Source organism: Homo sapiens, chromosome 20, assembly GCF_000001405.40.
Source record: "Homo sapiens chromosome 20, GRCh38.p14 Primary Assembly".
NCBI lineage: Eukaryota > Metazoa > Chordata > Mammalia > Primates > Hominidae > Homo > Homo sapiens.
In genome coordinates, this window is record NC_000020.11 from 33,215,279 (window position 1) to 33,229,565 (window position 14,287).

General features: G+C 45.8%; 1 protein-coding gene across 3 annotated transcripts, besides 1 other annotated feature; it reads left to right on the forward strand.

Annotated features, from left to right (window-relative positions):
- Window positions 1-2,031: 2,031 nt before the first annotated feature.
- BPIFA3 (BPI fold containing family A member 3) lies at window positions 2,032-12,528 on the forward strand. 3 transcript variants are annotated; one of them, XR_244132.4, is made up of 7 exons: window positions 2,032-2,385; window positions 8,533-8,683; window positions 9,077-9,184; window positions 9,820-9,969; window positions 11,128-11,212; window positions 11,614-11,715; window positions 12,260-12,528. XR_244132.4 is itself a non-coding variant. In NM_178466.5 (7 exons), exons 1-7 carry the CDS (start codon window positions 2,259-2,261, stop codon window positions 12,337-12,339), a joined length of 765 nt encoding a protein of 254 aa, NP_848561.2. In that variant the 5' UTR covers window positions 2,074-2,258; the 3' UTR covers window positions 12,340-12,528. The 3 variants fall into 3 exon arrangements, 2 of the variants coding, with proteins under 2 accessions (NP_001035904.1, NP_848561.2); NM_178466.5 differs by having other exon boundaries at window positions 2,074-2,385; window positions 11,652-11,715; NM_001042439.2 differs by lacking the exon at window positions 9,077-9,184 and having other exon boundaries at window positions 11,652-11,715.
- Window positions 8,478-9,677: an enhancer, noted in NCBI's record as "BRD4-independent group 4 enhancer chr20:31811562-31812761 (GRCh37/hg19 assembly coordinates)". NCBI's record gives its function as "activates an origin of replication core promoter dependent on BRD2, P300/CBP, MED14 and CDK7 cofactors, and independent of BRD4, by STARR-seq in HCT116 cells {active_cell/tissue: HCT116}" and the evidence as "EXISTENCE:reporter gene assay evidence [ECO:0000049][PMID:35650434]".
- Window positions 12,529-14,287: the final 1,759 nt, after the last annotated feature.

Below are 14,287 nucleotides of genomic sequence, written 5' to 3' on the forward strand. Positions count from 1 at the left end.
CAGACCTGGGAGCTGAGTCTGCCAAGAGACAGAGTCAGCAGTTGAACCCCGGTCTGCGTGACCCTAAAGCACATACTCTGGACTGCATGTGATCCTGCACCGAGTTGGCTTCAAATCCAGTCCCCAGCCCCTGAGCAGGGCCCTCTCATCCCTCCAAATCTGCTCTCTCTTGTCATGCATCAAGCTCTGAAAATCTATACCCTCCATGCTGTCCTTTCATTAGGCTCTGTGGCCCTGAGAACCACAGCCTGTGATGAGGTAGGACCAACAGCTCCTGCCCCATGTTAAGATGTCCAAAGAGCCAAGGACAACAGATTTGTTCCTCCCGACAATGCCCACTCTTCTCTGTTTTCTTGACAATAAATAACAAAATTCCAACCACTTACATAAGACCAGGAAGGCTAGAAAAATACATTTTGAAGTAAGTGATATTCTACAAACATCCCCAAGGGGAGCATGAACTCTGAGAAAGGACCTCAAACAGGGAAAGCCAACACCCTGAACCAAGGCTTTCTCAGTACAATCTCTTACAAAACCAGAGTGAATTGCCCAAGAATAGCCCCAAGGCTTCTGTGAAATTTGCAAAGGACGTTCCCATCCCTCATCCACATGGGACCCTCTATGTCGCCCGTAGTATGGGGAAACAGCACAGGGACAGTGACAAACGCCTTTGTCTCAGAGCTCACAGCAATGGCAAGGTGGGGCCCAGACATCCGAGACCTGTGCTGCTGCAGTGGAGTGGGGAAGAGAGAGCTGCAGGCAGTGCGGTCCAAGAGGATGCAGGGACCCTCCTGGGCCTGGGAGGTGTTGCATGGAATGTGGCTTTTGCTCTGTGTGCAGTAGGAAATGCTGGAGGGTTTTGAGCAGAGGAGTGGCATGGTGGTCTACCTTACATCTTTTTTTTTTTTTTTTTTTGAGTTGGAGTCTTGCTCTGTTGCCAGGCTAGAGTGCAGTGTAGTGTGATCTCAGCTCACTGCAACCTCTGCCTCCTGGGTTCAAGTGATTCTGCTGCCTCAGCCTCACAAGTAGCTGGGACTACAGGCATGTGCCACCACACCCAGCTAATTTTTTGTATTTTTAGTAGAGACGGGGTTTCACCATGTTGGCCAGGCTGGTCTTGAACTCCTGACCTCATGATACGCCTGCTTCGGCCTCCCAAAGTGCTGGGATTACAGGCATGAGCCACCGCACCCGGCCTACCTTACATCTTAAAATGACTGTTCAGGCTGCTGTGTGGAAGAGATTGTGGGTGGGCACAGTTAAAAGCTGGGAAACCAGCCGGGACCCACTGGCAATAATTCAGATCAAGCTGATGGTGGCTGAGGAGTAGTTGTTATATGTGGTCATGTTCTGGAAGTGTCAGCAGGATCTCCTGACAGATGGGTTGTGGGAGATGGGAAAAGGGGAGGAAAGGGCAGCTCCACCGGCTGGGAGTAGAACAACTAGATGGACTTGGCACCATTTCCTAAGAGTGAGGACAGGGGACTTAAACTGAATTCTCTCTGAATCCCAACCCCAGGGCTCCAAGGTCAACCTGATGCTTTGGCTTCAAGAGTCTGTAATTCTTATCCAGAAAGATAAGATCCATCCATCCAGTTATTCATTCATTTGTAGCATTAACAAACATTCACCAGTACTTACCATGTGGCAAACATGGGAGGCACTGTAGACATGAGGATTAATTAGACTCATACCCTGCCCTCAAGAAACTCATAATTCAGAGGAGATTCAGAGATCAACCATCTCCACTCATCAATTCAGTCGTTTGGTCACTCAACAAACATTCATTAACACTCAATTTCTGACAAGCAAGTATCGTGGTAGGGATTGAAGTGGTTGGTCATGCCCTTAAGAAAGTCCTAACCCAATTGGAGAGCCTGGGGTTAGCCATCCTCACTCAAATGTATTCATTCATTGGTTCACTAAAGAGTCACTAACATCCAGCCTGTGCCAGGGTCTGGGAGAGGACTCCTGTTGGATGACCCAACAATAGACTCTGGTGAGTGTCTCCAAGCAACAAGGCCTCCCTCTGGAGCCCTGGCCTCCTCCCAGGGTTCCACATGTTGCTCTCCCAATGTGAGCAAGCCCTGGTGGCAGCGCCAGGGTCCAGTGCAGCCCCTCCCCACAGCATGCTGGGGGCTAATTCTGATGTCATCTTTCTGCAGAAAACCATTAGACCATCCCTCCAGACTGCCACCCTCAAAGCCGTCTGCCCAGGCCCCATCTGACACTCTTGACATCTGCAGGTCCCAGACCCTATGATGTGTCCACTCTGGAGGCTCCTCATCTTCCTCGGGTTGCTGGCCTTGCCCTTGGCACCACACAAGCAGCCTTGGCCTGGCCTGGCCCAAGCCCACAGAGACAACAAATCCACCCTGGCAAGAAGTAAGCTAAGCCCCGGGCTCTGCCTGCTGCCTACGGGGCTGGGGAGGTGGGAAGGTGCCATCTGGGCTCCACTGCTAACCCGCTGGGTGACTTCAGGTTAGTCACTTTCCCTCTTCTCTTTTTCTTAGACCTCAAGTACAGAAAATTGAGGTTGTGTTGATCATATGCCAATTTCTAGCACATCCTCATTGGCACAAATCACTGCAAGGTCCCCCTTTTGTTTTATTTTCTTATTTTCCCCCTTTATGACTTATTCTCACCCCATATCCCTACTGCCTTGGCAGGCATTGCAGCGTGTTTAATGGATGTACTTAAATATGCCTGTGTCCTTGTATGTACAGTACTTTAATTTACATAAATTGTATTGTACTTTAATTTACATAAATTGTATAGTGTTGGGTTTCACTCAGCACTATGCTGTTGACATCTATGTTGCTTCAGCTGGTGCAGAAAGAGCCATAAGATTCATCCACCTCAGTTTATTTGGCTGCTCCCCTCTGGATGGACATGCAGGTTGTCTCTAACTCTCCATGATTATAAACTACACTGAGATGAACCTCCTTGCAAGTGTCCCTGTTACAGCCTGTGGGAGAATTTCCCTGGGATAAACCCAGAAGGAGAGTGGTTGGGTCCTGGGGTAGAGGTGAACTCAATTTAACCAAAACTGCCAGAATCCTCTCTAGAATGGCTGTGTGGTCTACACGTGCTCCAGTAAGAAATGAGCATACCTGTCTCCCCATGTTCCCCAGCACTGCCGAGTACTGAGCTGTATCAGTCAGCTAGGGCTGTCCTCACAAGACACCACAGACTGGGAATTAAACAACACACATTCATTTTCTCACAGTTCTGGAGGCTGGAAGTCCAAGATCAAGATGCAAATAGGGTTGGTTTCTGGTGAGGCCTGTCTTGCTGGCTTGCAGACGGACACCTTCTCGATGTCTCCATACAGCCTTTTCTCTGTGCATGCAGAGAAAGAGATCTGTTTCTTCTTATAAGGACACCAATCCCATCAGTTTAGGGCCATACCCTAATGACCTCGTTTAACCTTAATTAGCTCTTTAAAGGCCCTATCTCCAAAGACAGTCGCACTGGGGGAGGAGAGGGCACAATTTGATCTATGACACTATTTTTCTACTTTTTTTTTTTTGCCAGTTTGATGTGTAGTTGAGTGATAACTACTTGTTTTAGCTTGACTTTATCTGGTGAGTGGGAAGTTTGAGCATCTTATACTTTTGTTAACCATTTTGACTTTTTTTCTTGGAGACAGAGTCTCACTGTGTCACCCAGGCTGCAGTGCAGTGGCATGATCTTGGCTCACTGCAACGTCCACCTCCCAGGTTCAAGCAATTCTCCTGCCTCAGCCTCCTGAGTAGCTGAGATTACAGGTGCATGCCACCATGCCCGGCTAATTTTTGTATATTTAGTGGCGATGGGGTTTCATCATGTTGGCCAGGCGGTCTCGAACCCCTGACCTCAAGTGATCTACCCACCTCGGCCTCCCAAAGTGCTGGCATTACAAGTGTAAGCCACTGTGCCCAGCCCCATTTTGACTTCTTTGAATTCCCTGTTCTTACCTTTTATCCATTTTTAAATTTGCTTTTCTGGGTTTTTTTAATCCTCTTTGACTTGAAGAGACATTACTTAATTCTTGACATTAGCCCTTTGTCAGATTTATGCATTGTGAATATTTCTCCCAAACTGTCATCTGTTAACTTTGTAGGTCCTTCACTGAACAGGAATATTTTCAAATTCATCAATATTTTGTTTTATAGTTTGTGTTTGGAAAGTCTTAAGACCTTGCTCCTACCTCAGACATATTCTACTTTGTTTTTTTCTAATAGCTTTATAGTTTTACCTTTCACATTTAAGATTTTAACCCATCTCTGGAGGCTATCTTTATGTATGCCTGTGTATGTAAGGCAGAGATTCAGCTTCGCTTCTCTCCATATGACTCAGTTTCCCCAACTCATCTACTAAATGATCAAATTCCCAAAAATGAGGATTCACTGCTGAACTCCCTATGCTGTATCTGTACATCTGTTTTACACCAATAACATAATATTGTAAATACAACATCTTTGTAAAATGCTGTTTTATCTGACAGACCTATATTCTTCCAAATGAATTTTAGAGTGTGTTGAGTTCCTTTAAAAAATTCGTCTGGCCGAGCACGGTGGCTCCCTAGCACTTTAAGAGGCTGAGGTGGGAAATCGCTTGAGCCTAGGAATTCAAGACCAGCCTGGGCAGCATATCAAGATCCTGTCTCTACAAAAATAAAATTAGAAAATTAGCCAGGCATGGTGGCACACACCTGTAGTCCCAGCTACTTGGGAGGCTGAGGTGGGAGGATCACTTGTGCCCAGGAGTTTGAGACTGCAATGAGTTATAATTGTGCCACTGCACTCCAGCCTGGGCAACAAAGACCCTGTCTCTTAAAAAAAAAAAAAAAATCAGGGCGGGCGCAGTGGCTCACGCCTGTAATCCCAGCACTTTGAGAGGCTGAGGTGGGCGAATCACAAGGTCAGGAGATCGAGACCATCCTGGCTAACACGGTGAAATCCCATCTCTACTAAAAATACAAGAAATTAGCCGGGCGTGGTGGTGAGGGCCTGTAGTCCCAGCTACTCGGGAGGCTGAGGTAGGAGAATGACGTGAACCCGGGAGGCAGAGCTTGCAGTGAGTGGAGATCATGCCACTGCACTCCAGCCTGGGGGACAGAGCAAGACTCCATCTAAAAAAAAAAAATAAGGCTGGAAATTGGATTGGAGTTAAAATGAATTTGTTAATTTAAAGAGAGTTGATATTTTAGACTTCCCAATCATAAATTTAGTGTATCTTTCCATTTATTCAGATTTTACTATATATCCCATAAGAGAATTTTAAAGTCCTATCAATGTATTGAGCATGATTTATTAACATGATTCCCAGAGAATTTATAGTTTTCATTGCCATAGTAAATGCTACCTAATCTTCTATTATATTTTCTAGTTGGAATTGCAGGTACAGATGGAAGGAAAGCTGTTGACTTCTTCTGATATTCAAAAGCCTTGCTGACCTCTTATATTTTTATTGTTTTATTTATTCTGTAGGTTTTTCTATCTAGGGGATTATATTGTCCATAAGTAGTAATAGCTTTATCTTTTCTCTTCTAAGCCTGACACTTCCTGTGCCTTTTTCTTATCTTGCATTGTAGCCAGAGCCTTCTACAGGAATGGAAATTAATCCAGAATTCCCCTACAAGTAAATTTTCTGTGGGTTTTTGGAATATAGTGTTTATCACATTAAGCCTGTTCCTTATGCCCCTAGCTTTATGAATTTTTCTTACTCATAAGTCAGTATTGACCTTTAACAAATGTTTCTCTGCATCTAAAAGTTAATCACTTTTTTCCTCCAACCTACTAAATGATAAATTGTATTAATAGATTTTTCTGCTGTTGAACCTTCCTAACACTTTTAAAATGAAAGTTTTTATGATGTACTGTTAGATTTTTTTTTTTTTTTTTTCAAATGGAGTCTTGCTCTATCACCCAGGCTGGAGTACAGTGGCGGGATCTCAGCTCATTGAAACCTCCACCTCCCAGCCTGGGTTCAAATGATTCTCCTGCCTCAGCCTCCCGAGTAGCTGGGATTACAGGTGCCCCCACTACCACGACCTACTGATTTATGTATTTTTAGTAGAGACAGGGTTTCACCATGTTGGCCAGGCGGGTCTCAAACTCCAGACCTCAGGTGATCCGCCCGCCTTGGCCTCCCAAAGTGTTGGGATTACAGGCGTGAGCCACTGCGCCTGGCCAAGATTTCATTAGCTAATAATTTGTTTAGGATCTTAGCAAACTTTTCATACATAAAACTAATATGTAACTTTCTTTTCTTGGTACTGTCCTTGAGGCTAGGAAAGTTATACTAACCTCAGAGAATGAATTTAACGTCTTTCTGTTTTTAAATTTTCTTTCACATTTATCTCTTTATAAAAGTTTGATAAAACTCTGCATAAAATCTTCTAGATCAAAAGCTCTCAGAGAATGAGATCTTCAATCATCATTTTTATTTGTTAAGAAATTTCTTAATTTCTTTGGTTATGAATGTTTTCTATTTTTCCTCATTGAAACTTGGCATTTTGTGGTTGGCATAAATGTATCCTTTTCATTTAGGTTATTGAATATATTGGCGTATAATTCTGAACCCAGGTAACCTCATTTATACAATAAGTGCAGTTAGAATGTTAGTTCACGAAGCTGCTTTTCAAACTTAAATGCTGGAAAGTATGTGAAAAGTTCTTTGACTATGCATATGTTTATTGCTATGACCAGTAGCAGCTTCTCTGCAGTAACCCAGAGTTCTCAGTGTAGGGCCTGATCTCAGGTAGGGTCAAGGCAGTGAAACTATATTATCAGTTAGAGTACTTAGCTGCAGGCAACAGAAAACCCAACTCAACCTGGCTTACACAATAAAAAAAGTTGTCATTTTACATAACTGAAAGTCAGAGATAGGACAAGCTCCAGGTTTGGTTCAGTCATGAGTTCAAAGTTTGCCTCCAGACTAGATTTTGTCTATTTCTCAGCTCTGCTATCATCATGGTTTTATCCTCATGCTGGTTCCCATTGTGGTAGGAAAATGGTGGCCCATGGCCATTGGCGCTATAGGCTGTCTTGCTTCTTTCCGATAGGAGAAACAGAAAGGAATTTTCCCCTCTTGTTTGGTCTGATAGAGCCAACTGGGTCATGTGCCAACTTTGAACCCAAAAGAGTCAGTGAGGGTGAGGCACACCTGATGGTTCAGATAATCAACAGCCTCATCTAGACCAGGAATTTAAGGGAGTACTTGAATAAAATCAGGGTTCAGATGAGGAAAATAGAATGAATAAATGGATAAATGGATGGATAGATGGACAGATGGATGGATGGATGGATGGATGGATGGATGGATGGATGGATGGATGGATGAGTGGATGGATGGATGGATGAGCGGATGAATGGATGGATGGATGGATGGATGGATGGATGGATGAGTGGATGGATGGATGGATGAGCGGATGAATGGATGGATGGATAGATGAATATTAGACTGGCAACCACTGGTGTCTGCTGCTCACAAATTCCCAAGCACCACTATAATCATGAACCAAGAACTACTAAGAGTTCTGGGCATACCTATAGGTTCACTCTATCCTTGAAACTATTTGTTTAATATATTTCTCTCCTAGTAGACATAAAACTGGTTTGTACCCTCAGTGACCAGCTTGGGGCCTGACACCCAGTAGATGCTCAATAAATATTTGTTGGATGAATGAATGAATGGTCTTAATATTCCTCACAAGAACCCTGTGAGGTACTGCCCCTGTTATACAGATGAAGAAGCCAAGACCCAGGGAGATGATAGAGCCAGGATTTGAATCAAGATCTGCTACTCCAGACACATTCTTGTTTGTAAGCGACAGAAACAAACATTGCTGAAACAAACAACTCCAAGGTGCTGTCTTGGAGGAGGGGGATGGGGTATGACAAAGGTTTCTGCTGCTCTGGAGTAACCCAGAGTTCTCAGTGTGGGAACTGATCTCAGGGCAGGTCAAACCAGTGAAATAATGTGCCCTGTGGTACACTACGAGGTTCATCAGAGCTGGGTCCTCATCCCAGGCAGGAGGGTCTAGAGACAAAATAGAAAGGACTTAAGCATCTCCATAGCTTTAAAAATTCCTTCCTTTGGGAGATTTATTCCTTTCTGGTGGAAGCTCCACTGGGTCCTGCAATTTATTCTAGACATGGTGTGGAGCAATTTACATCTATTCTTTCCAGGCTTACCCATCTAATTTTCTCTTCAACCAACATTGACTCTGATCTACATCCTGTATGTTAGCTCCGTGCTCCAGACTGAAATACAGTGTTGGGTGAACTTTCAACCAGAATACCCCACTTTGAGCAGCTGTTGCCTGCCACACCCTCTGCAGGTGTTTTTCTTTATTTCTCACATCAATCTTGCAAAGCATAATTTCATAGATGAAGAAGGTAGATCTCCATGGGGAGGTGGTGACATGCACCACTCACTAAGCAATCAGATCTTGCACCAGCCTGCAACCCAGGCCTCCGAATCCCAAGCCCCCCACCTTTTCCGTGACACTGTGCAAAGTCAGTGGTCCTTGTGCATTTCCAGTTATTGCTCAGGGCCTCATAAAGCACAACGCAGAAAGCCGAATTCAGAACATCCACTTTGGGGACAGACTGAATGCCTCAGCACAAGTGGCCCCAGGGCTGGTGGGCTGGCTAATCAGCGGCAGGAAACACCAGCAGCAGCAAGAGAGCAGGTGAGACCCTGAGTTCTATCCGTGGCCCTGGAACTCTTTATAGAGCTCTAGATCGAAGGGTAGAGCTGATGGGGGGCTGGGGAGGTGCAAGGCCTGTGAAGAGGGAAGGTAGGAAGATTGAAAGAAGAGAAGGTGGAAGGCCCACACAAGGAACAGTGGGGGCCCAGCTGCACAAATCAAAACTGTGTGGCACTGTTAGGGCCACTCTGGGGCAGCTTGCAGTCCAGGGCTCCCGCACCTGACTCTTGCCCTCAGAGCATCTGTAAAAGAATCACAGTCCAAATCCCATTGCCAGGCCCTCTTTATAGTCGGACAGCCTTGTTTCTCAGCAGGAAGCCTTACCTGTTCTGAAGTCCCTCACCCTTGTGGGGCCTCTGCTCTTTCCTTGTGCAGCATCAACATCACCAACATTCAGCTGGACTGTGGTGGGATCCAGATATCATTCCATAAGGAGTGGTTCTCGGCAAATATCTCACTTGAATTTGACCTTGAATTGAGACCGTGAGTCATACAGAAGCAGAATCTGAGAGGTGCTGGCCCTCCTCGCAGGGAACCTGGGAAATTCAGATCTTTCTGATCCCAACCTAAATTCAAATCCTGGCTTCCAAAGCCACTTGCTGTGTGACCTTGGGCAAGTCACTTCACCTCTCTGAGCCTTGGTTTCTTCACCTGAAATATGATGACAATCATTAGTCAGTGGAAGGAAGTCATTTGCTCATTCAAACCTATGAGAGTTCACAACAACTGGGCTTGATTAAAGAGAGAAAGGGAGAACTGCTGTAATCATCTCATCGCCCCTGCTCACCATCCTCCTGTTCAAACTATCCTTTGACATCCACTGCCCCCAAGAAAGGGAGGATGCAGCTAAATGGGAAAGATTTTTGAAACAGAGATTAACTCTCAACGTTTGAATTTCCAAAGGCCTATTTAAGGGGTTTTCAGAGTCACTCTGGCTACAGCTGTTTTCTCTTTAATCACTGACTTCAGGATTTAACTGGGCCTAGTTTGTTGAAAGGACTCAGAGTGCCAGGGGAAGCCCTAACGGTGGACAGTGCCCGTCTTTGCCAATACGGAGATTTCTACTCTTTCTCTACCTCCTCCCCTTGCCCTTCCTCCTCTTCCTCTCTCATCTGCAGGTCCTTCGATAACAACATCGTAAAGATGTGTGCACATATGAGCATCGTTGTGGAGTTCTGGCTGGAGAAAGACGAGTTTGGCCGGAGGGATCTGGTGATAGGCAAATGCGATGCAGAGCCCAGCAGTGTCCATGTGGCCATCCTCACTGAGTAAGACCCCAGCTGCCCCTCCCCAGAGCTGGGCCTCCTTCCTGATGAGCCCCAGCTGCAGGGTCACTTCCTGACCGTCTCCTAAATTAGTCCAAAGCAGATCTCATCCTTCCCCCGGGATCTGCTCCTCCTCCCATGTTCCCATCCGTGATGACCCTACCACCCTCCCAGAAGCCAGACTCTTCTCCCTCCTCACTCCTCAAGCCCATCATCACAAGTTCCCATCAATGACTTGCTAGTAGCCCTCAGCTTCTCTCTTTTATCTCCATCTCCTACTCCACTACCTGGAGCACTACAGGAAACTCACCTGGCTTTCCCTGGCCCGGATCTCCCCTCCTACACTCCATTCCTCATCCTGCAGCAGAAATAACTTTCTAACACAGAAATCTGGCCATGCCCAAGCCCCTGCTCCAAAGCCTCCAGTGGTTCCCAGTGCCCTCTGGGTAAACAGCAACTCCCAAATTTCACTCAAGGCCCTGCTTGTCCTCTCCCCTGCCAACTTTTCAGCCCTTTGTCCTCCACCACACACCGTACATTTTCACACCACTGTGCCTTTGCACATGCTGATCTTCTTGCCTGGAATGCCCGTCCCATCTTCTATGAAGCTCCTCCTTATCACTCATTCATTCATATATTTCCCAAAAACCTACTGTATGCCAGCACCACACCTGATGCTAGGGATACAGTGGTGAACAAGACACAAAATACAGCTTTAATAAAGCTCCATAGACTGGCTGACCAAGTCTTTCAATTTCAACTGACTGTAAGTCCCTTGAAGGCAAGACTTGTGCCTGATTTATCTCTGTAATTCCGGAATGCTGAAAGCAATGAAGACCTCAGTGGATGTCTGTTCATTTATTCATCAGATATTCATTGAGTACCTAGATTGTACCAGACATTCATGGGAGGACGGTGTAAGGGAAAGACTCTGGAATCTGGTGCTCTATTGCCATGTTTCTAATATAACCAGCACTTATTAGCTGTGTGACCTTGGGCAAGGTCTGAGCTACCCCTTTGATGATCACTGACAATGATACTTCTGGCATGGGGCTGAGTGAGGACTAAAAGACTGTGGAAAGTATACTCAACACATACCTCCTGGCTTTAATATTGCCTGGATTGCTCTGTTCTGTTCTGTGCCTCTACCTTTCTTTCTAGGGCTATCCCACCAAAGATGAATCAGTTTCTCTACAACCTCAAAGAGAATCTGCAAAAAGTTCTCCCACACATGGTAGAAAGTCAGGTAAGTTTAGAAAAAACTTTGCATCTTGAGCATCCTTGAGTCCGAGGGTTAGGGCATATATCCACTGGCAATTTAGCAAAGGATTTCAAACATTGGATTTTAGAGCTTGAAAAATCTCAATTTAAAATTTCAGTTTGGCCATGAGTTTTGCCAGCCTATCCTTGAGCAAGAGACTTTGCCTCCCTGAGCCTCAGTGTTCCCACCTGTAGCATGGGATCCACCATAGTCTCTATCTTATATGATGAGGATTTGTGGAGACAAAGCGTCGAAGTGTTGTGCATGACACTGAGCAGGTAGTTGGCGCTCACTACAAGGGAGCTGCTCTGGCCACGATTCCTACTGGAAAAAATCCCATGGAGTTGAAGTTTCCTGCCACAGTCACTTCAGTTTTCCTTTTCCAGCCCCTGGCCTGATCCTTCTCTCTGTGCTGATGGTCCAGGTATGTCCTCTGATCGGTGAAATCCTCGGGCAGCTGGATGTGAAACTGTTGAAAAGCCTCATAGGTGAGTGTCTGGTCCATCCAGTGAGGACTTCTTAGGACTGGCAAGTGGCTGAAAGAGGTACCCCCGGCCCTGGAGCCCCCAGGGAGGCCTGCTAAGGGGCGTCTGCATGTGCCGTGAGAACACTTTAGAGGTGACCATATTATGATGACCACACTGTCCCCCAAGAGAGCTGGGACAGCAGAACGTACCCCTACCAAGCAGGCTGTGCCCTGCCAAGTCACTGAAGTCATCAGGTTACCAGAGATTCGAGCTGCTTCCAAGATCTCCACCCAATCCAGTAGGGAACACTGGCCCCATCCCAAACCTGAGACCATCTCTACTCCAGTTACAGATAAACAGTTATAGTCCCTGCCCATATAGAGCTCACAGACTAGTGAAGTGAAGACACCAAGAAGCAAACAATTCAGCATCATTTGGGGAGGGTTTTCACGTGAACGCTCCCGGCACCTGCCTTTGGTCACCATGGATGGATGAGGGTTTCCCTTCGGTGTGGGAGTTGGGAGGTGGGCACACTGGTGACAGACGCTACCTCTTCTCCTTACAGAACAGGAGGCTGCTCATGAACCAACCCACCATGAAACCAGCCAACCCTCTGCATGCCAGGCTGGAGAGTCCCCCAGCTGACTTCTGCTGATCAGAAGGAAAGTCCACATCTTGCAACCTTAAGTCTCCCTTAGAGTGGGGCTTCTGCTACCCTAAAAACTTTACCCCAGGCTCTGTGGACATACCATCCTCTCCTACAATAAACTCTAGCTCTGAAGGGTGCACAGGTCCCTCCCACCTGGGCCCTGGGGTTTAGGTCTAGAAGTCAGACCTGATGAAGTATCCTCCTGAGAACAAATATCCCTATGGTTGCTCATCAGCCCAGAAATACCAGGACAAAAAAAAAAAAAAATGCAGGGAGGGGCCTGTTGAGATTTCTCATTCTTTCATTCTTTCATTCCATATTTATTGGGCACCTAATATGTGTCAAGAATACTCCTGGGCTCCAAGAGGGTGTAGAGAAAGGGTGAGAGAGTGGAAAAGTGAAACCATGGGCACAAACACATCTGAGCTCACCTTCAATTCAGCTCAACTGGCAGTTCCATGAGGGTGTAGGTGCCATGCAGCATGGTGACGCATGAATCCCAGCCCCAGCATACAGCTGGCACAGAGTGAGTGCTCAGTAAATATCTGTGGCTCAATGAGTGGATGGATTCTAGTCTTAGGATCCACTAGCTGCATTTGAGACAAAGCTTGTTATCTTTCGGTCTTCATCATTTGCAAAATGGAATAGAAATCTTGCAAGATGTGGAGCAACAGAAGCCATCCCATGCTGCTGGTGGGAGATAAATTCTACCACCACTTTATAAAGCATCTCCTAGAGTTAAACATGGGCTTACTTTACAACTCAGCAATTCCACTACCTAGTGTATTCTCAACAAAAATACATGCACGTGTGGAGCAAAAGGCAAGGAAGCTCATAGCAGCAATGTTCGTCATAACCCCAAACTCAACATCCTCCCATGCCCATCAAAAGAATGAATAAATAGAATGGGCAGATATCTTGTGGGATGGGCACCCACTGGAATCTCTATAGTGATGGAAATGACCTACAATTGCACACAGCACGTGGATGAATCTCATAAACAGAATGTTACATGAAAGAAGCCATACACAAAAGGGCATGTGTTGCATCTCCCATTTATGTGAGTCCAAAAACAGCAAAACTAATCCGTGCCGCCAGAGATAAGATAGTGGTTACCTTGGAGCAAGGGTTAGATGCTAGGAGGGCATTGAAGGGGGCTTCTGGAGAGCTGATAGCATTCTGTTTCCTGATCTAGGTGCTGGGTATGGGAAGGGATGTTTGGTTTCTGAAAACTCATTGAGCTATTTACCTATACACATTTTTCTTATGTGTAATGTACTTTAACAATTTTGACAATAAAAGTATTGGCCGGTTGTGATGGCTCACACCTGTAATGCCAACACTTTGGGAAGCTGAGGCTGGAGGATTGCTTGAGGCTAGGAGTTCAAGACCAGCCTAGGCAACACAGCAAGACCCTATGTCTACAAAAAGCTTGAAAAATTAGCTGGAGGTAGTGGCACACACCTGTAGTCCCAGCTACTTGGGAGGCTGAGGCAGGAGGATTGCTTGAGCCTAGGAGTTCAAGGTTACAATAAGCTATGATTGCAACACTGTGCTTCAGCCTGGGTGATAGAGCAAGACCTTGTCTCTCTAAAAAGTCCATATATGTATTTATAATGCAGGATGCTTGTAAGGAGTAAAGCCATGAAAAACCATTTGCAGTGTATTTCACATGTGATGGGTTCATGGGAAATGCTTATTAAATGTCACTTAATCCAGCCAGGCACAGTGGCTCATACCTATAATCCCAGCACTTTGGGAGGCCAAGGTGGGTGGATCATTTGAGCTCAGGAGTTTGAGACCGGCCTGGCCAACACAGTGAAACCCCATCTCTACTAAAAATACAAAAATCAGCTAGGCATGGTGGCAGGTGCCTGTAATTCCAGCTACTCAGGAAGCTGAGGCAGGAGAATTGCTTGAACCCAGGAGGCAGAGGTTCAGTGA